The sequence below is a fragment of the Homo sapiens genome, chromosome 5 (genome assembly GCF_000001405.40).
Source record: "Homo sapiens chromosome 5, GRCh38.p14 Primary Assembly".
In the NCBI taxonomy this organism is placed as follows: Eukaryota; Metazoa; Chordata; class Mammalia; order Primates; family Hominidae; genus Homo; species Homo sapiens.
In genome coordinates this window covers 181,412,915-181,440,546 of record NC_000005.10, presented here as the reverse complement: position 1 = coordinate 181,440,546, position 27,632 = coordinate 181,412,915, and the positions used below count along the sequence as shown (strand labels likewise).

The 27,632-nt window shown below is 47.5% G+C and overlaps 1 long non-coding RNA gene across 2 annotated transcripts in view; it reads right to left on the bottom strand.

Annotated features, from left to right (window-relative positions):
• Nucleotides 1-21,810, bottom strand: part of LOC124901156 (uncharacterized) — a 44,142-nt gene extending 22,332 nt beyond the window's left edge. For both annotated transcript variants that reach the window (XR_007059090.1, XR_007059091.1), the window contains exons 1-2: nucleotides 20,695-21,810; nucleotides 1,426-1,527 (exon numbers count right to left, since the gene is read on the bottom strand). This is a non-coding gene — a long non-coding RNA (uncharacterized LOC124901156). The remainder of the gene's footprint in view (nucleotides 1-1,425; nucleotides 1,528-20,694) is intronic.
• Nucleotides 21,811-27,632: the final 5,822 nt, after the last annotated feature.

Below are 27,632 nucleotides of genomic sequence, written 5' to 3'. Positions count from 1 at the left end.
GAGTCAGAGCTGCCCAGGGTCACAGCTACTCGAGGTCAGAGCTGCCCCAGATCAGGGCTGCCCAAGGTCAGAGCTGTCCTGGGTCAGAGCTGCCCATGGTCAGAGCTGTCCTGGGCATCAGAGGCGCAGAGGTGGGAAGGGCTGGCTTCAGGTGGGAGTTATAGGTGGGAGTTATGCTACAAAGGGTCTTGAAGGCCAGTGTTGTTGACAGGGTAGGGTGCCTGGGTAATAGCAGAGGAAGAAAAAGGCTTAGAGTTGGAGGGAAAAACATGAACTGGAGTTGGGGGAGTGCACCTGCCCCCTCAGAGACCACAAAGCCTCCCCAGGGCTGGGCTGTGGCTGCTGGAGCTCCCAGACCATGCCAAGTGTCAGAGCCTGGGCAAGACCCTCTGGGGCAGCCCGGAACCACCAGAGGTCAGAGCTGGAGGAGGCTCAGCTGGGGCCCTTGCACCAGGCAGGAGGCCCAGAAAAGAGACAGTGCTCTTGAACTGCAGGAAGGCAGCTCCGTAGAGAGGCAAATCTCACTCCAGCTCGGGCAATACTCAACTACACGGACGTGGATGCTCTCAAGGGGGCTTTGGGGCATGTGGTGTCGGCATTGGACCCAAATATGGGCTCAAAGCTTTCCTTTACCATATTCTTTCTACATTTTTCTTGCAGATTGAGAAGGGATAGGGAGGAGTTTAGGGAAGTGAGTGAAGCAGGAAGATGTTGACCAAGGGAAGTTAATTCCATAAAGAGGAGGATGAGGGGACAGAAAGGCAGGAGGAAGAGGAGGAGGAGAATCTTCGCACAGGGGGTGTCAGCTGATGGGGGCAGCATGGGCGCCCATGGAGCCCTTTAGGGGTCGTTGGTTGTGTGCAGAGAGGCCACAGCAGGCGAGGCAGGCAGTGTCTACCACCCCCAAGGAGACACCAAGAATCCCTGTCCTTAGGAAGTCCCCTCTTCCTCCTCTTGAGTCTCATCTCGGAAAGAGGGAGCTGTCAGTCAGAGCTCAGGCCAAACACTGGGGCTAATAGGGGTGAGAGCAGGGACCTGTGGGGTCCTCACCGCTGTCCCCTTCTCACCTTTCTGGCTCAGGCCAGGCTCAGCCCCCAGTGGTCTATTGTCTTTCTATCTGTCATCTATCTACCTACCCACCTATCTAACCATGCCATCTATTTCATCTATTTTTATCTATCAACCATCTATCATATATCTACCTACCTACCTTTCCATCTATCATCTAGTTCATCTATTGCTATCTATTATCTAATTTGCCTATCAAGTATCTATCCATCATCTATTTCTATCATCTATCCATCACCTGTTACCTATCACCCATATACCACCTATCCCTATCTATCATCTATCTAGCCAGCAATCCACCCATCATCTACTTCATCTATTTCTACCCGTCTCCCACCCCCTCTCCCCACCCCTCACCAGAGAGTATGCAAGCACGACCACGTCAACAGGCCCTGAAGTCACAGGTTCACACAGCACGTTTTCTGCTCCATCACGTGTATGGGGCAGGGGGCAGCAGAGCTGGGGGAGAAGAGATAAAGGAATTATGTCAAACAGGGACTGTCTTGTCTGCCCCAAGGGTCTTTCCTCATCTATAAAGCAGATTTTTCTTGTAGAGCACCACGAGAGCTGTGAAATGGGAGTGAGGGGTGAGGCAGGCCATGGGGCCTTCCACAAGGTGGGCAAGATGGTTGTCTCTGGGGAACCAGCTGGCCAGAGGGGGCCAAGTGCCAACCGGTCTGGATGAGAGCAAAGCAGCAGGCAGAAGGTTACAGAGGCAAGTGTCGGCACCAGGGGTGAACGCTGGGATTTTTCAAATCCAAGAGACATTTCAAGTAAGGGGAAAACCTCCCCCAGGGCTGGGCTGAGAAGCTAGTCGGGTGATGGGATGAGTGAGAATGACAAGTTGCGTCTGATTGTCCTGGAGACCTGGCTGAGAACTCTGTGTGAGTCTCTTAGGTAGACGGTTACACTTGTTTTCAGTGAGAGTCAGTTTCCATAGAGAACTGCATGGTAGTCACCAAGAACCGAGGGGGCCCAGGAATGCCCCAGCAGTGGTCTGGAAGGGCTTGTGGGGCTGGGCAGGAGGTGGGTGGGGACCGGGTGCAGGCAGAGGGAATTCAAGGGTACAGAGGCAGAGAGATGGTGCCGCCTGGGGAACGCAGCGCACCCAGGACAGAACAGGCCTGAGAGCCACACACACTCACAGCGGCTTCCCAGAGTGTTTGTTTTCTATGCACCAAGATGCTCCCCCAAACCCTCTGCAGCCTGTTCCCTGCCTTGGGGGTCCTGAGGGCCACCCTTCGGGTATGGGGTTCAGGTCGCTATTCCTTTCTCGATGCCCCTGGTGTGTCCATGGGATGAGCTGACTGGCCCACCTAGTGGGAGCCTGTGCACCACGGTTCGTGTGGCCCAGGGGAGGAGGTTTTGCCTTTCCTCGACCCCACTTTATGAAAGGAAAGCCTGAACCCCTGGGCCAGCTAGGGGAGTGAGCTAGGGTGGAGGGCAGTGCTGGTCATGGAGGGCAGTGTCCAGCCCTCTGCTCACCAGCTCCAAGAGTGATTCTGGAAACGGAGCCCAGTCCCTGGGCCCAAACCTTTGCCTCTGCCCTTCTTTCTCTCTACAAATTAGAGGCCACATCCCTGGCCACTGAAGCCTTGTACCCTGACCCACTGTCTGAACCTGATGGAGTCTAAATGCAGTGAGCGGGTGCCAGCCTTCCCTGGAGCTCTGCAGAGGCAAGGAGGGGGTGGATGGAAAGACGGGAGTCCCTCCCCTTAGGTGAGGGGGGGAACTAGGGCCCGGGGAGATGCCCAGGCCTGGCGGCCGGCGCACGCGGGTTCTCTGTGGCCAGCAGGCGGCGCTGCAGGAGAGGAGATGCCCAGGCCAGGCGGCCGGCGCACGTGGGTTCTCTGTGGCCAGCAGGCGGCGCTGCAGGAGAGGAGATGCCCAGGCCAGGCGGCCGGCGCACGCGGGTTCTCTGTGGCCAGCAGGCGGCGCTGCAGGAGAGGAGATGCCCAGGCCTGGCGGCCGGCACACGCGGGTTCTCTGTGGCCAGCAGGCGGCGCTGCAGGAGAGGAGATGCCCAGGCCAGGCGGCCGGCGCACGCGGGTTCTCTGTGGCCAGCAGGCGGCGCTGCAGGAGAGGAGATGCCCAGGCCAGGCGGCCGGCGCACGCGGGTTCTCTGTGGCCAGCAGGCGGCGCTGCAGGAGAGGAGATGCCCAGGCCTGGCGGCCGGCGCACGCGGGTTCTCTGTGGCCAGCAGGCGGCGCTGCAGGAGAGGAGATGCCCAGGCCTGGCGGCCGGCGCACGTGGGTTCTCTGTGGCCAGCAGACGGCGCTGCAGGAGAGCTCAGGAGCAGGGGCCTGGGCCTGCTCCGGGGGAATCCGCCCACCCCACCGCGGCGGCCTCTCCTGAGGTTCCCTAGTGGCCGCGAAGGGTGGGCTCAGGGTGAAGGGTCAGGCCACACCAGTGGGTGCGGGGATGGCTGCGGCCACGGGAGGGCGTCCAGGGAGGAGGCCGGAGCTCAGGCCCACTCTGCACACCCAGCCCGCCACCTCCCCCGGCTCTCTCTTCCTTCGTGCACATTCTGGGGCTCATGCTTCTGCTGTGGTCCCATTTAGCCAACCTGGCCAGCCTTTCATGCCTGCTTCATGGGTGAGACGTGGAGGCCAGGTCAGCCGCAGAGCCCGGGGCACACGCCGCAGCCAGCACAGCAGCAGGTGGGCGTCTGCGGCCGGGGCCAGCGCAGGGCCCACTGGGCCTCGGAGGGGCCTCCCTGCCGACTCTGCCCCCGTCCTGTGGCCGTAAGTCCACCCAGAGCGCTCGATCTTCCGTCCACCAGGCCAGGGATGCACGCAGAGTAAGGATGTGTGTGTCTAGGCATGTGGGGGTGTGGGTGTGACGGGGTGTGTGCTGTGTGAGAACGTGTGTGTAGTGTTCACATGTCCTCTGTGCGTGAGTCCCTGTGTGTGATGTTGTGTTCTCGGTGTGAGTTCATGAGTGTGACGGGGCGTGTGCTGTGTGAGAACGTGTGTGTAGTGTCCACATGTCCTCTGTGCGTGAGTCCCTGTGTGTGATGTTGTGTTCTTGGTGTGAGTTCATGGGTGTGACGGGGTGTGCTGTGTGAGAACGTGTGTGTAGTGTTCACATGTCCTCTGTGCGTGAGTCCCTGTGTGTGATGTTGTGTTCTCGGTGTGAGTTCATGGGTGTGACGGGGCGTGTGCTGTGTGAGAACATGTGTGTAGTGTTCATATGTTCTCAGTGTGAGTTCATGTGTGTGACGGGGTGTGCTGTGTGAGAACCCGTGTGCAGTGAGATCGTCCCCAAAGGTAGTTCAAAGCTGGGGCCCTTTCATTTGCCAGGATCTAACCCAGCTACTCAGGAGGCTGAGGCAGGAGGATCACTTTAGGCCAGGATTTTGAGAGCAGCCTGGACAATATAGTGAGACCCTGTCTCTACAAAAAAATTTTAAAAATTAGCCGAATGTGGTGGGGCATGCCTGTAGTCCCAGCTACTCCGGAGGCTGAGGTGGGAGGATTGCTTGAGCCCAGGAGTTTGAGGTTATAGTGAGTAGTGATGGCATCCCTGCCCTCTATCCTGGACGACAGACCAAGAGTCCAGCCCTAAAAAAAAAATTTAATTAAAAATTTTTAAATCTTTAAAAATTAAAAATCTTAAATTTTTCTTTAAGATTTATAAGAGGACTCAGTAAAGGCTGTGCTGGCAATAACATCAAACTACTGAATTCTTTGAGAACTCCTTGGAGATTATTATTTTGCATGACATAACTAAATATCTTAATGATTGACTTAATTACTTAGATGTCAGTCTGTATGTTTTTGGTGTCGTAAGTACAAAGCTTAGAACTGTTACTTTTAGGGCCAGGAGCAGTGGCTAACGCCTGTAATCACAACACTTTGGGAGGCTCAGTCAGGCGGATCACCTGAGGTCAGGAGTTTGAAACCAGCCTGCCCAACATGGTGAAACCCCGTCTCTACTAAAAATACAAAAATTAGCCAGGCATGGTGGCAGGCACCTGTAATCCCAGCTACTTGGGAGGCTGAGGCAGGAGAATCTCTTGAACCCGGGAGGTGGAGCTTGCAGCGAGCCGAGATTGTGCCATTGCACTCCAGACTGGGCGACCAGAGCGAAACTCCGTCTCAAAAAAGAAAAAAAAAATTACTTTTAAAACCAAGTACTAGCTCATCTCTAAGTAATACTATTTAAGTAGGCAAAAGCCCCTGGAGGTCGCCTGAACTTTTTATACTCTTAGCTGAGGGGACAGAAGAGAAATGATATGACATTTACAGAAACCCCTATGTGGCCTGGCCTCATTGGAATTTTTTCTGTTAGTTAAATAAAGACCATTTGTTTCTATTGATTAAAAACAAAATTATTCATATAATGGGTTCAAGAAAACAAATTATTTCCCTAATGGACAGTGTAGGTCAGGACTAGAAGCAAACAAGGATCTTCTATCCCTCACACATCTCAACACTCAAGCAAAAACTCAAAGAAAACAATGATACTGATGGCCACGTCATGCACCGTGCTCACACAAGGATGCCAAGAGGCTTCATATGTGTTCCTTACCTGGACCCTTTTCACTGGATCAGAAACATGGATGTCTTAGTCTGATAGGCATCCTCTGCTAATGCATTTTAAATGATTGAATCAATAATTTGATGGGCCACTTTTTATAAGATGCTACGATACCCTATGAAGCACTATTAAAATATTCATTTTTCTGCACACCAGATGTGGCCCAATTGTTAATAACCAATATTGGTTCTCTGGCAAAAGGAGCAAAGGCAGCCCTCTAAGATATTCCTCACTGATATTCCATTTTTCAGTGGGTAGGGAGACATGAGTAGGAAGCAAATCTGGGTCCCTGCACCCACGATCTTGGTGCCATCAAAGTGCCGCTGCTGGCAGGTTCCTGGGCACCATCTGAGACCAACCCCACTGTGAGGTTGAAGGAGGCTGATCAGAACAGTGGTCCTCCACCTCCTCCCTGACACCTTGGGAAGATGACTTCCCAAGTCATCTTCTATTTATGTGGTCTTATTCCCATAACTGGGGCCAGATGATCCCACCCTGGGAAGACTGGGGAAATACCCAGAATGCTGACCTGAAAGTCCAATTTTCCCAATGTTTCTACTGTTCCCATGTCAAAAGTCTTTGGGCAAAATCTCCCAGGCTTGAGAGATTTCAATCCAGCCTGGATCACCTCTCCACTTCCTCCATCCCAGAGTGAAATTAAAAATCCCATCTGCTGTCAATGAGGAGTCCCTTCAGGCCCTAAAGTTTAGGAAGAGGAATCCCTATCTTGTCTTCTTCACTGTCATCCCAGCACATCAGTTACTTAAAACAACCCAATTTCAAGAACTGATAGACCTTCATTTCTGGACACACCAAAAACAAGCAAATTCCAGAGGATCAGCTTCAGGGTGGCAGAATGGAAGGAGTAAAAGCCAACCACGGGGCCAGGTGCAGTGGCTCACGCCTGTAATCCCAGCACTTTGGGAGGCTGAGGTGGGCAGGTCACCTGAGGTCAGGAGTTCAAGACCAGCCTGGTCAACATGGTGAAACCCCGTCTCTATTAAAAACACAAAATATTAGCCAGGCATGGTGGCGGGCGCTGGTAGTCCCAGCTACTCGGGAGGCTGAGGCTGGAGAATCACTTGAACCCAGGAGGCGGAGATTGTGGTGAGCCAAGATTGCACCACTGCACTCCAGCCTGGGTGGCGAGTGAAACTCCATCTGAAATAACAACAACAAAAAGCCAACCATGGGATCTGTGGCACAGCTCTCACTTCACCATTAGCTCAGCCAGGACTGGCAAGGGAGTGCCGACTGGAGAATCTTATCCTCTGTTCCTTAGCTGTTTAGATGTATAAAGCCTGAGGGCTTGGCACCTAATTAGGGTTTCAGAGCTTTGTTTTTCTCTCATCTAATTACATTTGCCCTGTGGGGAAGAGCCTCTGTCCAGGAGGCATTGCTCTCTGAAAATCTGTCTCAGCCCAACAACAGGTGCGAGAAGGTGAGCAGCTCCTCTCCCCACCAATGCGGTGAGATGCTGAGCCAGGCCCTGGCTTCTTCTTCCTCCTCTCCTTTCATTATCTCTAACTCCAGTGTCAGCCCTCAAGCAGTCCCCTGCTTTGTCACCCCTGGCAAGGTGGGGAATGTTCTCTTAACCTGCAGCTTTCTCCTTCGGGAACAAAGCGCAGCCTCTTAGCAGCTAGCAATCAACTCCTGTGCTCGGGGCCTTCCAGCCAGACCTTCTGCAGTGCACCCTGGTAGGGGGTAAATTATCCTGAGCTTGGAAAATGTGACTGAAATCACCTCCGACAGAGGGAAATGGGTTTTCATAAAAGACGTTTCCTCACCTTCGGTTGCAACTCAATTCAACTGACCATTTCCCACCCTGGATCTCAAAAGAAATTTCTGCTTTGCTTCTGGGTATGAGCCTGGGTGATAATGAAAGGTACTTAGGAAGCCAGGCCTATTGAAGCAGCGTAGCCCTCAGAGGGGCATGGCTGACTTGGCTAAAAGTAGGACAGGGTGTGGGGTTGAGGAATCCATGGGGACTCAGGGCATCCTGTCGCAGACACAGGAGCTGACCCAGCCACAGGGTCACAGGACAGCCTGTGTCACCACAATCTCTGTGCAGAGTCCAGAGTTCACAAATGAGATAAATGGACATTTGCTGACTGGGGTAACTCAGCATCTATTCACCCTATTTCTGGGAAAAGCCTCAATTTACATGTGGGAATGGACCACCCCCTTATTGTTATAGGAGTTATTAAGAAATTATTTTAGGCAGATAGAGAGGAAAAGAGGTCCTTGGGAAGTTTTTGTTTCTTTTAAAGCAGATCCAGAAACCTTTCTTGTCTAACAGGAGAGCGCCAGCTCTAAGAGCCACTGGCAAGCTTTGATATGCAAACGCAGGCCACTGGAAACTGAGTCCACCCAAACATGGAGATTCCAGGTTTCTTCCTTGCCCCAACAGGTGGCTGGCAACATGGCCGCCCCCACATATCCCCACGTGTGTAGAACATCATGGCGCCCTGCATTTGCATTCTTAAAAGGCTAGACTGTGAGGGCCAGCTTTTTCGCAGGCTATGTGAATGACCTGCCTGGTCAAACCAATCCTCTGAGCCCTATGCAAGCCAGCACCGCCTCCTCCAGCCTCCTCATATAACTAGCTGATTACACCACACACACGCCCTCCCCCCACATCCCTTCTCCCCACCGGGGTTTTCTCTCTGTTCAAATCCCCTCTCCCTCTGTCTCTGTACTGGGGAGCTGTTTTCTTCTTCCTTCCTTCTTTCTTGTATATTAAACTTTTCGCTCCTTAAAACCACTCCAGGTGTGTCTGTGTCATTTTATCCAAGTGTGTGCTAGACCAAGAACCCTGGTGCTCCTCCAGTCATCTGAGCCATATCATTATCTCATTCTGTTTTTGATGGCACTAACCACCAGCGTACCCTGCTCCATCAGAACACTCATCCTCCTGAGCTCTGTGAATGGCTCAGGATGCACAAGTGAGAGAAAAATGTAGCCAAGTGAGGAGGCAGAGAGAAACTGCCTCCTGGTAACACAGTGTGCGCCCCTGGATCAAGCCATGCCTGAAGGCAGTTTATTCTGAACTTTTACAATAAGTGCTCTTTTTGTTTAAATCACTTTGGATTGGGTTTTTGTTCACTTGTAAGCAAAAGCACACTATGATAAAAGGGGATACAAGACAAGTATCACAAATCCAGAAATGAGAAGGGCCCAACCCCAGAGCCCAGGCCAGTCAGGGAAGTGAAGAAACAGACAGCATCTGAGATGCCTATGCCCAGTATCCAGGGGCTAGGTCCATGGCCTTTGAGCCTTAAGATGCAGGAGATCCCTGTGGGGAACTTCACAACAGCGTAGATTCCCACTCATTCCCACAGCCAATTCTCATCCTTCAGTCTGGAAGGGGAACCAGAGGTTTGGTTTTTAACCAATATCCAGGCAATTTGGAAGCAGATAACACAGAGAATACTTTGAGAAACACTTCCCTACACTCTGAGCTGGGAGTTAAAGGACAGGGTTCCAGTCTCTGCGGTGAGGCAGTGGCAAGAGCTCCGTGGGCGGGAAGAATATTAGGCCAGAGCTTAGAACAGGACTGCAGAAGCAAGCATGGAATGGAAGCACATCTGGTGATCTGTGACATACAACGAGCCTGCAGATCACAGGCAATGATTTTTGGAAACTCATCACACAGTAGTTTGAAGCAGCAGGAACGATTTCATCCAAAGTGCCATGAGAACACTTCCGAGTCTACAAATGCTTTCATAGGTCAATCTAAGCTGTTCCTCCCAACCAACCTGTCTGGCAATTAGAAATTAGGAAATTAAAACTCAGAGTGTCTAAATAGCATGCACAAAGCCACACAGCTCACTGGTTCAGTAGCCTAGACCTGGGTCCCAGTCTGTCTGACACCAAAACCCACACTTTTCAAATAATTCTCCCTTCCACCGGGGGAAGGGCTGGGTCTCAGGAAAGGTCTAAGGGACACACAGTGCGGGGATCAGTGAGACCCTACTCAGCAGGCCCAGATGAGGGAAGGGGGTGCTCCATCTGACTGCACAGGAAGGCAAGGCCATTTTAACTTTGCAGCATCTTCAACTCATCTGGCTCAAGAAATCCCAGCCCAGCTTGGGGATGGAGAGTGGAGGAACACAGGGGCACCCTTGCAAGTGAAGACTAAGCTCTGATTTTTTTTTTTATCTTACCCAAATTCCCTATCTAAAGGGTCTGGGGAGTGATGTCCTACAAACCATAAATTCTCATCAGATGGATTTTATTTAACCCTATATATTGTGACTTACTTTCCAAACTGACTCTGTCATAACATTATGAGACAAGGAAGAAAATCAAAATATTTTACCCCAAAACATAGGCTTTTTTGTCCATATCTTGAAATGGCCCTGCAAAGCTGTCCTTTGTGGGGGAAAATTTGTATCTGTAAAGAATCTCTATTAACATAGCTAGATATTTTTCTTCCAGGCCCTCCCAATCCTAAAGAGATTAACTGAAAGTCTAGCACTTTGTTTTTTTTTGTTTGAGACGGAGTCTCACTCTGTCGCCCAGGCTGGAGTGCAGTGACATGATCTCGGCTCACTGCAACCTCTGCCTCCCGGGTTCAAGCGATTCTCCTGCTTCAGCCTCCTGAGTAGCTGGGACTACAGACGCCCACCACCACACACAGCTAATTTTTATATTTTTAGTAGAAATGAGGTTTCACCACATTGGCCAGGATGGTCTCAAACTCCTGCCCTTGTGATCCACACCCACCTGGGCCTCCCAAAGTGCTGGGATTACAGGCGTGAGCCACCGTGCCTGGCCAAGTCTAGCACCTTTTAAAGATCTGAATAGGAAACATTTGCCATCTATTGTCTCTGAGGACAGCCTCTATAAGACTTCAAAAGAACCTTGGTCTCCACCATCTTTTATCTTAACTTGAAAATTCCCTTTCTATGGATCCCAGGTCTTTAGACAAACTCACTGAAATTTACCTATAGCCTGGAAGCGCCCCTCTCCTCCTGCTTTGGTCCCACCTTTCTGGACCAAACCAGTGTATTTCTTAAATGTACTTGATCGATGTCTCATGCCTTTCTAAAATGCATAAAACCAAGCTGTACCCCGACCACCTTGGACACATGTTCTCAGGACCTCCTGAGGGCTATGGCAAGGGCCGTGGTCACTCATATTTGGCTCAGAATACATCTCTTCAAATATTTTACTGAGTTTGACTCTTTTCGTCTACAGGAGCAATGGAAATGATTTTCTTTGATCACAGTGTCAGCTCCTGACATTGGGTTGCACCCATCTGTGCTGCGGACTCTTCCCTCGGAATGAGAGAGGGAGATGGCTCCCAGTGTGGTTGGAAGTCACCCCACCCCACAACAACACAGTGCAACAGGCCCCGGCTTCACGCCCATTCAGTTCAGGACAAGTTTTTTGGAGCATCTACTCTGGGCCAGGCCCGTAGGATACTAAGATGAAATAGAGACAGTTCCTGCCTTTGAAGGGTGGTGATTTACCGGTGGGGAGAAAGGAAGAGGCCCATGAAAAGTCGTGTCTGTAGAAGGTAAGAAGGGGCACAACCGCCATGGCAGGGGAGTCACAAAGGAGAAGCATTCAGCCTGCCGAGAGGTCCCAGGACTTTCCTGGAGGATCAGTCCCCAAACTGACTGTGACAGGGAGCTAGACCCAGATAACAGCAGAGGCCCAGAATAAGAAAGAGTCTGTGAGTGGGCAGAATTCCCTCCAGGGTCATGAGGGGAGCTGACTTCTGATTAGGGCATTTCATCCTTCTCTGAAATGCAGCTGAGAACTGGTCAGCCTCACTCCCTTGCTGAGACCAATAGCAATCCCTGATGATCTTGCCACAGGTCCAGCAGGTGCCCCATCCACACTTTGTCCCCAGCCCCTACCAGGAAGCTCCAAACACCTACCTGAGGGGCCAACTCTGATTCCCAAGGAGGTGACACCTCCTGCCCCTTGTTGATAGAACATTGATAAGGAAATAGGACTGAGTTTTAAGCTTCTTTCCATGTCAAATATTTAAAGGCAATATAATGTTCAAGTTTAAATAATATTTCATGTGTAATTAAACAATCCCTTATTGTTAAATAGATGGGTTCCAATTTTGAACTGCTATAATCTGTGTATGTGTCCTTGATTAAATCCTTAAGAGAAATCCCTAGAAACATTATCTTAGGGTCAAATGGCTTGGATATTCTGTAAACTGCTGATAATTATGGGAAATTGCCTTCCAGGAAGGTTATAACAATTTGCCTGATCCCCAGCAGCAACAGACTTTACAAAGTACTCAGTATCTAATATTTAACTTTGATAAAGATAAGCTTCTCCCTTCTTTTTCACTTAAAATGCTCTGTCCCACCTCACTTTTCAGTGTCTCTTCACACTGACTAGACGGTTGGCTAATACTTCAGAGCTTGCAGAGCATCTTTATACACTTTTAATCCTCCTAACAACCGTGAGAGATGGAGCTTACTATTATCATCCGTGTTTGCAAATGAGGCCCTGAGAAGTTGAGTGATTTCTGTAAGGTCTCAGAGCCAATAGACACTGGTAATGAAATAAAATGCAAGGCCCCTTATCTTTGGAGCCCAGTGTTCCTTCCACATAGGTGGTTCTCCACCCAGGCTGCCCAGGAGAATGTGGAATCTCCAGCAGTTCTGACTTAACTGGCCTGGTGTGGATGTCTGTGATGGGTGAACATTCCCAGACCCTTTTAAGAACGTGATAGAAGTGGTAGACCCACTTCCCAGAAAAAGGGACGCACAACAAAATAATTGTCCTGAGTGGGTCTGACAGAATCAAGTGAACCCTTTAAATCTGGATCTAGAGGTCAGAGACTGAGAATGTCAGAGATGCAAAAGAGATTCAGTGCAAGAGAAATCCTCCTACTGGTTTTGAAGATAGATGTTGGCACCCTGTGTCAACAACCTGAGAGTGGCCTTGAGTTGCTGGGAGCACCCCAGACTGACAAACAGCAAGAAGAATATGGGGACCTCAGTCCTACAACCACAGGAACTGAATTCTACTGACAACCAGTGAGCTTGCAAAGAGGACTTGGAGCCCCAGATGAGAAGCAACCCTGGCTACCCCGATCTCAACCCTGTGAGATCCTAAACAGACAATCCAGCCATGCAACACCCAAACTTCTGACCTATAGAAACCCTGAGATAATAAATGGGCATTGCTCTAAATCACCAAGTTTGTGGTAATTTGTTACACAGCCATAGGAAGTGAATCGACCCGATGTATCTGAGCACCTGCTAGGTTATCATTAAGATTACTCTTCAAAGGTAAAAATTATTTTTCAAAATGTTTCTGCCCTACCTTCCGTGAGCATCTGGTGATGGATGGACACACACACATAAAGGTAGACTGTGTTTAGGTGGGCATGGTGGTGCATACCTGTGGTCCCAGCTACTCAGGAGGCTGAAAGAGGAGGATCACTAGGGCCCAGGAGTTCAAGGCTGCAGTGAAGCTGTGATTGAGCCATTGCACTCAAACTTGGGCAACAGAGCAAGACACCAGCTCTAAAAAAAAAAAAAACTGCTGAATGCTATAAATAAGATTGGAACTTGCTCTGCTTTTACAAGACCACTGTTAGATGACCACTGACAAGAAGACTGTGAGCTGGTCTCTGTAGGAAGCAGGGGCCTGGGCAGCTCTGGGGGCACAGGAGACAGGCCTGGGGCAGAGACACCTCAGGGCATTTTCAGAAGACAGCCAAAGCAGCCATTCCAGCTTGTCCAGGTAGATGGCAAGTCAATGGGAAATGATTCCAGGAAGGTAGGGAAAGATGGAATTCTGGAGAGCATTGGACCTCAGATTGGGAGTCTGAACGTCTTTCCATATGCATCAGGAAGCCATGGAAAATTCACAGACTGGAGTGACTTTGGCAAAGGTGGGATTTAGGAAGACTGATCAAGGCACGGGATAGACCCATGGATGAATAGCCTTCTGGTCAGTTTGTCCCTGTGGTTTTCTATGCTGAGGAGGTGGGAATGTGCTGGGTGAGTCAGCTGTGGATTTGTGTCCCTGCCTCACCTCACTCCCCACTGTCGTGGATTTGTCGGCTCATCTTTAGTGCGCTCCCTGAAGAAACACTCAGTTCACTCAGCTTGTTTCTAACCCAAAACACTCTGCAGGGCCCATCCTCTTGTCTTTGCCTGGGGATGCCAGACCATGTACTGCGGATGCCTTCCGCCTTAGCACTAGTGGGCTAAATGATGACTGCCTTGCTGTCCCAACACCACCCATCAAAGGGAAGACATCACCACTGGGGTCAGTACAGCCCAAGTGACAAACTCTATTCCCTCCTTTCTCTCCATCCCATGGACCCTTGATTTGCTAAGTGGGAAGACACTTTCTCGTGGTTCAACATCACCTAATCTGCACAATTGCTTCTGCAGGCTAATTCAGCCAGAAACCCTGGATATCTGGGCAGAAGCGCATGGAACTTTTAGAAGGATTACTACTGCTTTTAATATTCCCTCTGTCTTGAGTCAGACCACCACCAAGATCAGAGTTAATATTATATATCAAAGTCCTGCCATCAGCCTGTAGGATTTATTACTAGCATCTCTCCACTTCAGAGCTATGGGAACCAATGGAATTGGATCTAAGGTTTTGAGTTGGCTCTTGTGCATGGAAATTTGATGCAAACACTCTAATTTATTGGCCCTAAAGGGCTTTGGCAAGTCATTTTGGCAAGTCACCCACTGAACACAGAGTGAAATTTGCAGAGGTTTCCCCTCTGCTCGAACAGTGGTGTTCTCAGCACGTACAGGGAAGTTCTGCCCCCTTCCAGCCAGGTGAGCTAGGGGATTTTGCCTACCCTTTCTGAACCTCAGTTTTCTCATCCATAAGATGGGAATAAAAACATGGTCCTGGATGTATGTCTCATGCTAGGCACTGAGGCAGGGTACTCTCTCCCCTGAATGCCTTGCTATTGATGCATCACCAGTAAGGCATGCATTCATTGCACAGAAACTTAGGCATATGCCTACCAACATGCCCGATGTTGTGTGAGGCCTGACCGCTGTGAGGATGGACTTCCATCTGTGTGAATGGATTCATGAGACCAGCCCTCACTCTCAGGACTGAGGGCATTGGTGCTCTAACTTGTCTGAATATGGAATCAGCTGGAGAGATTCTGTAAATTACCAGTCCCATTCCACCCCTGAGATCCTGATTTCATCGGTCTTATTTCATTGCAGCCTGGTCGTTGGGATGTTTAAAACTCTCCCTAGGAATTCCAATGTGCAGCCAAGTTTGCAACTACACGGAGCCAGGTTAGTGGTGCGGTCAGCATGGTGATAATTGGGCTCATGAACCCATGACCTCAGCTTCATCAGGAGACCCACTGTAAGTACTGGCCCAACAGGAGGGAAAGGAGCTGAGTCAGATGATACCACTGAGGGGCATGAGCAAATGAAAAAACAGGAACCCAGCCATGAAGCTCGGCCTGAGTGTTGGAGATGCCACTATAGAGACCCTGGTCTTAGCAATCCAGACTTTTCCCCAGCAGAAGGGAGAGGCGAAGATTATCCTGGCCGGGACTGTGTAAGGCCTTTGAAGGTTGACCATCCATCTCACCCTGCTGTTTCCCTCCTTCCCTGCAGAACAGCCGTTCACCTGAATGTTCCAGGCTTTTGGTTAACAACCCCTGGTCTTTTGTACCCATTCACACTCAAAATCAGGGGGAATTCCTTGAAATGGTTAAAATGCAAAAGTGAAATTTAGAAGCCCTATGAATGAAACAACAATCCAACAAAAAATTCCCAACACTTTAAGCAAATGCTTTTCTGGCAGAGCCTTCAAATTGCTACTGTCCCACTATCTTCTGGAATCGTGTGTGTGTGTGTGTGTGTGTGTGTAGAGCAACAGGTGAAGCAGCAACCATAAGGTAGCCTACTTCAGGTCTGGCACCTCTTTTCACTGCTGTCATGCCCTCTTCACTGAGATCCTGACTTAAATATGTACACATGTGAATGCTGATTTCTTAGCATGAATTTTAACTCAGCTGTTGCTCGAGCATCAATGATTCCCAATTCCCATCAGAGTGAATGGCCCCTTCCTGGTCTCTGCAGTCAGCCCTCTGAAGCTGCTCAGCTGAACCCCTGGGAGCTGAGGGGCCAACTCTGACTCCCAAGAAGGTGACCTCTATCTCCCTTCCAGGGCCAGAGATGCAACATCACACACACACTGCCTTTGGAATGTGTGATTAAGCTTTTGGCTGCCAGTAGCCTGACAGCTTCCAGCAGCTTTGTCTGCCACCATGTCCACTTCTCTGTGCCAAAGTCACTGAAACAAAGGGACTGCAGATGTTGCTGTGAAGTCTTTCCGATTCTCCAGGACAGAGGAAAGCACTACATTGGGTGGGGGGTGGAGTGGGGATGATGGACTGTGGGAAACCTGCATGATGGGCATGAAACAATAAAAATGAAGCTGATTTTCTTCATAGCACTTGCTGCCATAGAGATACATTTGTTTCTGTGACCCTCTCACTGGAATGTAAACTCCCTGAAAGCAAGGACTTGGCTTATTGCTGTATCCCAAGAGCCTGACACAGTGCCTGGCACATGGTAGACACTCAATAGATGTTTGAGATAGGGAGGGAGGGAGGCAGAAAGGGAGGGAGGCAGAAAGGGAGGGAAGGAAGGAGCAAGGAAGGAAGGAAGGAAGGAAGGGAGGGAGGGAGGGAGGGAGGGAGGGACATAGACAGTGGATTTGGATAGACTTGGCTTTAATCCTTTCTGTAGCAATTCTAGCTGTGTAAAAATACGCGAGTGAGTCATTTATTTTCTTTGAGTCTCTTTCTTCATCATAGTACCAATTAACAGGGCTGGGGTAGAGAGTGATACATGTAAGGTTGCTAGCACTATTGGCAATCAAAACATGAGAGCTACTTATTTACATTGTGAGTATTGCTACTACTGATATTATCATTTCTGGACATTACTAATGATGTGAGCACTGGCCTTTCATCAGAGATTACTGGATAAGGAACATTTACCGTCTTGTCTCTGCTCATTGTGCTAAAGTTCCTTCTTTATCCAACAACACTTTCTCCTGTTTTCCCAATTTAGTGAAAGGATTAATCTTTTCACTCTCATTCTTCCTGTTTTGTTTCCCATAATATGGGTCCCATCCTTCCTCATGAGATGGGTATCTCAGTAATTGAGCCCACCCCACCCACATATTTGACCCTGATCCAAGACCCTCATTTCTGGGAATGAACCCCAGATCAGCCATGATAGAGGATAGCCTGGTTTTATCTTTTTGCTTCTGAGCAGGATCCAACAATTCTCATAAAATTTTCCCCAGCCTGTTCAGTGGAATTGTCAAAGCATCATTTTCAAAAAGTGAAAACATGATTCTTATATAAGTCTATAGGGAGTGTGTATAAAGATCTGTTTACTTCACAAAAGAAAGAACCAGAGGATGGTAAAGCTGTTTGAAAAGAGAATTGGAAGGAGAAAGATTTGGATAGACCATCAGAAACAGCATGCTGACATAAGTTTGCTAATTTGGAAACCTCACTCATTAATGTCCTGTGGAGCAATAAAATCTTTTTACAGGACAAAAATCATTTGTATCTCTACCAGACAAAAATTAACATGTAACTTGGCAGAGTCTGGGCCCTAATCAATAGTAAATAGTAAGTCAAACAAAAGTACCTTCCCTTAGAGAGTTAAAAAAAGCTTTGGTGGTTTGTTAGGCAACCTTCCAGTATGGCATTAGAAAGACGTGCAGTCATCCTATTTTTACTTCCAAGTTTGGGATACTTTTTTTTTTGAGATGGAATTTTGCTCTTGTTGGCCAGGCTGGAATGCAGTGGCATGATCTCACCTCACTGCAACCTCCACCTCCCTGGTCCAAGCAATTCTCCTGCCTCAGCCTTCCCAGCAGCTGGGATTACAGGTACACACCACCACGCCTGGCTAATTTTTGTATTTTTTAATAGACACAGGATTTTACCACGTTGGCCAGGCTGGTCTCAAACTCCTGACCTCAAGTGATCCGCCCACCTTGGCCTCTCAAAGTGCTGTGATTACAGGCATGAGCCACCATGCCTGGCCAAGTTCAGGATACATTTTTAAAACAAAATTGGTCCCCCTCAGCCTGGTGGATGTCCCTGCAGAATTTAAAAATACTATTATGTTCTAGATGTCTGATGCTGTCAATTCTCAATGGCCAGAAGAGGGCATCTGCCCAGATCAGTTCAGGTGTCTATCCCTGGTCTGATCGCCTGTGCCCAGGGTAGCGTATCAGGTACACGGCGCTGTTTCTTCCCTGCTATTGGTAGAACAGCTTTTCCAAGAAGGGGATAGGCTGGAATGGAAGAAAAGAGTCCAAAGAGGAAGGAACCACAACAGAAAGAGAATTGCTTTCCTTTCAGTTGTGGGAGCACCAGCTTAATGCCTCTTTTCCACATTTGCCCAGCAGAGGAAATGTTTGGGCCGAATGACAGAAAACCTAGGGTAGCCTTTTTGGTGCCTCCTGACAATCACAGAAGCAGGCTGGGATCCTACCCAGGTATGGCAGAGCAAGTGAGCCCACCTAGGTGGGAATCCTTACCCTCCTAATCCTGCAGGTTCACTTCACAATCTTGTGTAGACCTTAAACCGTTGTTTAGACAGTTATATGAAATGGGGTATTTTCTAGAGAAAAGGACAGTGAATGGGGATATGGGGATTTTTTTTTTTTTTTTGAGACAGAGTCTCACTCTGTCGCCTAGGCTGGAGTACAGCCATGCTCCCAAGCCATGCTTCCTGTATGGCCTGTGGAACATAGAGTCAATTAAACATCTTTCTTTTTTTTTTTTTTTTTTTTTTTTTTTTTGAGATGGAGTCTCGCTCTGTCACTCAGGCTGGAGTGCAGTGGTGTGATCTTGGCTCAATGCAACCTCCACCTCCAGGGTTCAAGCAATCCTCCTGCCTCAGCCTCCTGAGTAGCTAGGATTACAGGTGTGTGTGTGTGTGTGTGTGTGTGTGTGTGTGTGTGTAGTAGACACGGGGTTTCACCATGTTGGCCAGGCTGGTCTCTAACTCCCGACCTCGTGGTCTGCCCACCTCGGCCTCCCAAAGTGCTAGGATTATAGGCATGAGCCACCGCGCCCGGCCCACCTCTTTTCTTTATAAGTTACCCGGTTTCAGGTAGTTCTTCATAGCAATGCAGACTAATACAACTACTTTGAGTCTCACCTTTCCTTATTTGGAAAAATATTTCCATTGAAGTGTTATGGTGAAGATTCAATACAATTAAATGATATAACATATGTAAAGGGCTTAGCAATAACCCAATGGCTAATAAGCAGCCAAGGAGTGGTAGCTCTCAGTATAGTCAGCCTCTAAGAAGAGAGCAAATGTTTATTTTCAAGAAGAATTATGCAGAAAGGGCCACTTTCAGTCTACCATCCCCCCAGATTCCTTGAAGGCAGGATGATGTGAGCAGCAAGGGAAGAAAGGGGAGTGGGCACGAAATACTACAGAACCTGCAGGGAACGAAGTCCCTCTGTCTGTGTGTGCCTATATCAATAACTTAAACTTACACATTCATGAGATGCACTGTGTTTATTAGGATGTACATGTGTCCCTAAGAATCTGAGAGCTCCTGAGAGACAGAGACGGTGTCTTACTCATCTGCTCTCCCCAGGTCCTCGCTTACTACCTGGCACTTATTGGGTAATAAATGTCTGTTGAATGCATGGAAAAAGAAAGGTAGGAAAGGTGTGAAGGAGAAGATGGAGGTCATGACCAGTAGAAATCTCAGCTGTTCTGCCTGGGCTCCATGTCATCTCCCTGCTATTAGGCCCATCAGAATGTAAGCACAAATGCCTAGAGAATGACAAGCTTCTTTGGGACTCTGCTGACTAGACATGACATAAGACTGGACAGCTCCTGGGGAACTTCCAAGAGCTGGCTCCAGGCAGTGACTAATCCTAGGAGCTGCTGGCTTGGCTGCCTCTCTCCCTTCCTTATTTCCAAGATTGGTCACCTCCTGCTCTGAAATAGCAATTGATTTTCAGACATGAGTTGATAGAACCATGATTTTCTAATACTGTTCCAAAGAGGCTAAAGTACCTCTGAGGAGCAGTGCAGGCTAGGATCAAACTCTCCCTACCTTCCACTCCACTCCCTACCTTGCCCCTCCACCTCTGCCCACTTTCTATTTCTTCAGGCACAGCAGCTTCTACCTTATGGATTACAAATTCTGATCATCCATCTATGGTTGCATTAGGAAAAGAGTACTGCTACTTTCATTTTCTTTTCTAACCACTGCCCTAGAAGAATAACACCTCACATTCTCTGGTAGACTGAAGCCTGCAGCTGCAAGGATGCTCAGAAAACCAGACTTCTATTCATTGGCCACTTGCTGCACGCTCTGTCCCTCGATCCTTGCAACGTACCTTTGAGGTAGACACAAAAATCCCCATTTACAAGTGAGAAAACCAAGGCAAAAGAGGTTCAGTTTATTTCAGGCTCAAATGTGCTTCCAATAGCTTATAGCCTCTACAGCTAGTGTTTGAACCCAGGTCTGAAACAAATAGGATTGACAAGGGGAGGGAAAAGAGGAACAGAAATTCTTTTCTATAAGACAATTGTTTATGCAGCCAGGATTTCTTAAAATCCAGTTTGTGCTTACGGACATAATCTTTGAATTTGCTTTGTTTCTCGATGAATAACTTGGAAGCTATTCAAATAACTTGGAAGCTTCCTTTAAAAGGAACATCAGGAGGTGATTTTTGACTAACCCTAGGTGTCCTTTCTGAGCCAAATAGATTTTCAAATAAGAAAATGAGAGGACATGAGCTTGAGGAAAATGATAGGCATTCCAACCTCATCCGCTTGCTGACGACCTCCACGTGATTTCAACAATGATTTCAAATATTTCACTTTTTAAGTCAGTGTGACTTAAGTATGAAATTGCCTCTCCCTAAAGCTCCCCTAAGGCCTAAACAGTCGTCATTACCATAGCTGTGACAGGGAGACTGTTGAATTTATAATCTATTGGCCATTCACAGCATAGCGTATAAACCTAGCTCATGATTTCTTTGCAATAGAAGTGTACTTTTTCATCACATTCCCTTCACAACTTACTCACCAGATCAGACTTTGAGCTCTCCTCCTGGCTTAGCCTGGATCGTTTGAAATGGTCATCCATCCTTTGGCCCCAATACCTAAACTAAGGTCTATGAACAATAAGATGATTTTCTTCAGTGGGACTTTTTTGTTTAATATAATATTAGATATTTCCCCTGATACAGGGCTCAATCTTTTTCTTTTTAAAGCAATATTTCTCAAAGTACTTTTCACAGAACTTAAGTTTCATTAAGCACTTCACTAAAAGAAAAGTCTGTGATCTAATAAATTTGGAAAATATTGAGAATTAGAGCCCCCTCTTAGATATGTACTGTAGCTACTCAGCTTGTTACAGATGAAGTAAACATTGTAATATTCACCCAGCTTTTGAGTGATGTCTATTAACGTCACCCAAATGAGTATTCCATGGAATGCACTTTGCAAAAACCTATTATTCAAGAAAATTCTGGAGCATGAAAGCTATTAACGATAAACCCATTCACAAAATCACACCAAATATCTAAAATCATGTTTAAAATCTCCTAGAAATGGGTTGAATTGCCCACTTCAGAGACAAAGTGATTCTTTTGTAATAACGAGTTTTGTTTAGTGAGTACTTATTATCTCATTGAATCCTGAGGACTACCTCACAAGGTAAGTATAGCTCTTTTCATTACACATGACAAACAAGGCTCAGAGAGGTTAAGTAACTTGCTCAAGATCACAAAACTGCAGAGTGACAAAACTAGAATTTTGAATCTAAGCTCAAAGGGTCACCAAACCAAATTTGGGTCCACCCACCCAGCCTATCAAAGTCAAGCACTGATATCGGCATTGCTGAGACAGAAGTTGAGGAATTTATTGCAGGCAGCAAGCAAGGAGTATCAGGCAGCTAATCCTTAAGGCCTAATCTCCCTGATGGCTTATGTGTAAGGGTTTTTAAAGGTGGGAAGGCAGAGGTTGCAGGCAAGGTCATATAATACATGGAGGCTACATATTGGTTTGGCCAAAAAAGGCAAAATATCTCAAAGTGAGGGCCCACAGGATAGGTGACCATTAGATGAATTCAAAGATTTTCTGATTTGAGACCAGGTGCAGTGGTTCACACCTGTAATCTCAGCGCTTTGGGAGGCCAAGGTGGGTGGATAACTTGAGGCCAGGAGTTTGAGACCAGCCAGACAAACATGGCAAAACACCATCTCTACTAAAAATACAAAAATTATCTGGGCATGGTGGTGTGCACCTGTAATCCCAGCTACTCAGGAGGCTGAAGCATGAGAATCGTTTGAACGTGGGAGGCAGAGGGTTCAGTGAGCTGAGATCGTGCCACTGCACTCCAGCCTGGGCAGCAGAGTGAGACTCTGTCTCAAACAAACAAACAAAAACCCAAAGATTTTCTGATTTGTGATTGGTTAAGTTTTGGCTACAAACTTGGGGTCAGCAGAAAGGAATGTTCTGCTCTGGCCTGTGGGTGTGACTTCCTCCAGGTCCCTCAGGAAGAAATTTAGAACAAAGAACAGTTGTGAGTGTTCAGTCCTCAGTTCCTCCTTATCTGAGATCTACGAGCCAACAGGTGGTATTTTCCATTTAGCGGGGTCTGGGTTTCTACAAAACAACTCAGGGACATATGTTAAGATGTTATCTCTAGTTTCTATAGGGAAACAAACATTTTGTGGCTCTAATTTTCTTTTTTTTTTAATTATACTTTAAGTTTTAGGGTACATGTGCACAACGTGCAGGTCTGTTACGTATGTATACATGTACCATGTTGGTGTGCTGCACCCATTAACTCGTCATTTAAGATTAGTTTGTGGCTCTAATTTTCTTGACTATTGTTTTAAGCTATTATTACCTTCTTACTTATCAGGGTGCTCATCTACTTCTTGAGGCTAGCCAGGTGGCTGGAATTTTCCTTGGAGGGACTCAAGAGTTTCCTTTATTTTTCATGCCTTAAATGGGTCTGTTCTCCCTCTTCAAAGCTCAAGCTCTTAAGGACTATGCTATTGTTAGATTTTTCGTATTGGAGCAGTACTTCCCTCCTACTCAAGAACACCCCTTCTTCAGACAGCCTGGCTGGGTCTTCATCCTGGGAGAGCTCATGAAACACAAACCAGATCTTGGCCCTCACGTGTGTCTAGGCAGAGCTGAGCCTGGGCAACACCAAGCATGCCCCCGATTTTGCATGTCCCAGCCAATTCAGAGTCAAGATCCACGCTCAGCTCCTTCCCTGCAAAGTGCTAATGATGAAGGATGGGGATCAAGTCAGCAAACTCCAGAAATGGTCTTAGACTAGGAGTCAAGCCTTGAGATCCTATTACACACCAGATTCATTCCCTGATTAGAGCTGCTGAATTCTTTTACTCTCACTGCACTCATGCTAAAGTTTCTTTCCTCCAGCCTCGTAACCCCAGAGGAGGCTGAGCCATGATACCCATTGTCTAGCAATAAATATTTAAGGAGCCCCTGAGATATGTCAGGCACCATCGCAGGTGCTGGGACAAGTGAATGTGACCAGGAAAGTCCCTCCCCTCTCAGAGGTTCTTTTCAAGTTGGAGGACAGCAAATACAGAAATATAGAGTCTAACATAACAACAGGGAGTAATAAACACTTTGAAGAAAAATAAAGTGGAATAAGAGGGTAGGGTTGCCATAGGGTTCTCTGGGCAGTCTTCTATGGAAAGGCCACTTGTTGGGGCAGAGAAAAAAAAGATGTCTGAAAGGAGGACTACCGGCCCCCCATAAGTGCGCTCCGGTCCATGCACAGGGCAATGGGCATGTAATTTCCTATGATTAAGACCTACAGTATGTACAATATTACTGCAACAGACACTGAGACTGACTTAGCATTGTTTCATAGCATCCGAGTTGCTCTGTTGGAGGAAAGTGCATGTGATGGGCATTCATTTGCTTCTGCCATCAGACAGATTCTCTACCTTTGTCTTTCCTACAAGATTCCCTAGGAAGGCAGGGCTCAGTGGCTCATGCCTGTAAGCCCAGCAATTTGGGAGTCTGAGGCAGTCAGATCACAAGGTCAGGAGTTCAAGACCAGCTTGGCCAACATGGTGAAACCCCGTCTCTACTAAAAATACAAAAATTAGCTGGGCATGGGGGCACGTGCCTGTAATCCCAGCTACTCAGGAGGCTGAGGCAGGAGAATTGCTTGAACAGAGACCCGGGAGGCAGAGGTTGCAGTGAGCCAAGATCGCACCACTGCACTCCAGCCTGGGCTACAGAGTGAGACTCTGATAAATAAATAATAAATAAATAAATGATTCCCTAGGAAGCTGACTCCCACTGAATGTGCCACTCAGGAGTCCCTGCTCTCTAGATTACAGTTGAGTTTGCTCAATGCAAGGCCCCAGCAGAAATGTTGAAAGTAAGAGCAAATAGATAGTTAACCACTCTTTAAGACAACAATGGATGTATACTTCTCTGGCCTCAGCTCCTGTGGGGAAGCTCCAGTGCCAGTCCCTGGGTGCTTCACCATTTTCCGTTAGTTCCTGAACCTTGTAAACTGACCCTTCACTAAATTCTTCCTAGTTAACCCTTTGAGAATGAAACCATTTCCTGCCAGGACTCTGACAGATACAAAGAACCCACAGCCGACTGCTGGGTGCGCGGCAGACCTAGTGCATGGCTCCACACTGCCATCTTGGGGGCTGGCACAGGCTGGCACTGAGTCTGGGGAAGGGAGCTGGGGCTGGAGGTGTGGAGGGGAAGACCGTGCATAGTTGCTTCCTGATCAGCTCTTTATTCGATTGAGAGTGAGGCAGGGAAGATTAGAGGGAAGCTTACAGTGGAATTCAGGGCTGAGGCTGCTATTCTTTTGCTCCTTGTAACTTCCTACAGTGTTGTCAGCATCCACATACTTCTCTGTGGGGTTGGTCTCAGAGCCAGGTTACCTTGTCTTAGGTCCAGTGGCAGCCTGACTGGCTTGGTGTCCTTGAACAAGTTACCTAACCTCTCCATACCTCAGTCCCTCAGCTGTAAAATTTAAAAAAAAAAAAAAAAAGAAGAAGAGTACCTACTGTATAGCATTGATTTGAAGATTGAATGAGCTGGTATTATACAACGTTTAGAAGCAGTGCCTGACATGCAAAAGGCTCTCAACAAATACTATCCTTTACTAATATCCTGTGTGTCTGTATCAGAGCTGGTGGGGTGGAGGGACAGAAAGAAGTGGGAGAAGGTAAAGAGATGGGCAAATGATCTCTAAAGTCTCTCTGGCACTAACACAATTCTTTATTATGTGTTTTGTCTGGCTCTTTATATTGATAGCTGTTCCAGAAGCAATCAATAGCTATTAGTCGGTTTTATTCTTATTTTTCTGTCTGATCTTACAGGGGAGCAAACTGTGGCAAAGCATGAACTTACTTCTCAGAAAATTAACCATTATGTTGGCAATCACTGTGATTATTTGAACTTCAGCGTCTGGACAAATTTAGTCACATGAAATACAGAAGAGAGATTTCTCATGGTTAAAATGAAGCTCTCTTTATTTGCTTCTGCTAATTAAAAAATCAGAGCTAAAGATACTTAAACACTACAGTTAAAATGCCATGGTTGTCTATTGGCTTAATGAATTCTCTTATGAAATCAACTCTAAAATGTTATCCATCATAAATCATGAAACACAATTTTTCTTATTCTCTTTAGAGCTTTACAATTCATCTTAAAGACCAGTGTTTACACTCTCTTCCGTAGGTTGTACAATAACCTTTGGCGAGAAAAAATAAATGTCTGGCTTTCTGACTCATAGGTGTGTTCCCTTTAACAGAAAAAGAAAATATGTCCTCTTTAAAACTGATGATCATTGGTCACCTCAATTTTATTGAAGTTCACTTCTGACCTCTTTAGATGTAGTTCTCTACATAAAACTGCCCAACAGAATTCTCTGTCTGAATGCCTCCTCCACAAACAAAATTTTAAGAACTAAAATCATCATCTTTCCTTCCAAATGTGCTCTCCCTATGTCCCCAGGGCTCTCCATGTGTAGAGCTGAGACCATTTGCCACTCAGTTTCCTCACCCAATTAATTACAAGTCCCAACAATTTTCCGTTGTTTTTTTTTTTTAGACGGAGTCTTGCTCTGTCACCAGGCTGGTGTGCGGTGGTGCAATCTCAGCTCACTGCAACCTCCACTGCCTGGGTTCAAGCGATTCTCCTGCCTCAGCTTCCCAAGTAGCTGGGATTATAGGTGTGTGCCACTACATCCAGATAATTTTTGTATTTTTAGTAGAGAGGGGATTTCACCATATTGGCCCAGATGATCTCAATCTCTTGACCTCATGATCTGTCCACCTTGGCCTCCCAAAGTGCTGGGATTACAGGCGTGAGCCACCATCCCTGGCCCAGTTTTGCCTTTTTAACATCCCTCAGCTCTTCAAATCCATTTTCTCTTCTCTAACACCTCCCCATTCCCCAGCTCGTAATGAACTCTTAAGTAGATTACTACGATCACCTCCCAAATGGTCTTCCTGGCTCCATCAGCCTTGTGACCTTCAAGTTCATTCTCCACATGGATGTCAGAGTAACTTTCTAAAATGAAAATCTGACCACGTTACTCTCTTGCCTAAATCCGCCTATGGCCGCTGTTAGGATCAAGTCTAAACTCCCGACCCTGGAACATCAGGTCTTTGTGCTCTGTTCAGTGCTTCTCTACCTCACCTGCAACCAACACCACTCCCACATCCATATTCTGCTCACCGTGTATCAACATGAACAGGAGGTGGGTGTTTCAGTCCCCAGGAAGACACTGGGCCTTTTCAATCATCTACTGCTGTGTAATAACCACCCTGCAAACTGACCACATGATTTCATTTTGCAAGGGTTCCTTCCTTGGGCTGTGTTCAGCAAAAGGGTTTACTGAGCTGGCAGGTCCAAGATGGCCTCACTCACAGGACTGGCTGTTGATGGGAGCCTTGATGCTCTTGGGCTCACCCCTTATCCTCCAGTAGGTTAGAGCTTCTTACAGTGGTTTCAGGCAGCATCTGAAGACAGTAAATGCAGAAGCTCCAAGGCTTCTTACATTCTAGCCTGGAAAATCACATCACATTGCTTCCTTCATATTTTTTTTGGCAAATCAGGTTGCAAGGCTTGCCCAGATTAGGGTAAAGAGGCAAAGAGGCTCCTTTTCTTTTCTTTTTTTTTTTTTTTTTTTTTTTTTGAGTCAGAATCTTGCTCTGTTGCCCAGGCTGGAGTGCAGTGGCGCGATCTAGGCTCACTGCAAGCTCTGCCTCCTGGGTTCACGCCATTCCTCTGCCTCAGGCTCCCAAGTAGCTGAGACTACAGGCACCTACCACCACGCCTGGCTAATTTTTTTTTTTTTTTTGTATTTTTTGGTAGAGACTGTGTTTCACTGTGTTAGGCAGGATGGTCTCCATCTCCTGACCTCGTGATCTGCCTGCCTTGGCCTCCCAAAGTGCTGGGATTACAGGCGTGAGCCACCGTGCCCGACCAAGAGGCTCCTTTTCTTGATGAAAGGAGTAGTGAAGTCACATTGCATGTCCTTGCAAAGGGACATGCAGACCACATTAGTGAGAATATGTGCCTGTATTTTGCAATCTGTAACATGGGCATAAACTAAATGTTTTCCAAAGGGAATAGGGCAAAACAAAAAGGACCTTGACCACTCCTTTGGCCCTGAATAAATCTAGGAAGCCTAAGAGTATGACTATCCTGAGGTAGAAAGAGGGTCACATGCTGGATAAGAGGTACCTGGGCTCTCCACTTACAAGAAGAGAGCATGGTTACATTTATAATCACCATTCCCAACACGCTGTGAGTGCAGGCAGCTACCAGGAGGAGAACAAAGGAAATAACCAGGACACCCATCTCTAAACCTGTTAATTTAATCACACGGAACACTTCTATTTAAAATTCCTGAGGGTTAAGATGTAAGAATGCTTATCAAGGTAAATGCTGTTCACACTGCTTGGAGTGTCAGGCCTAGATCTCTAT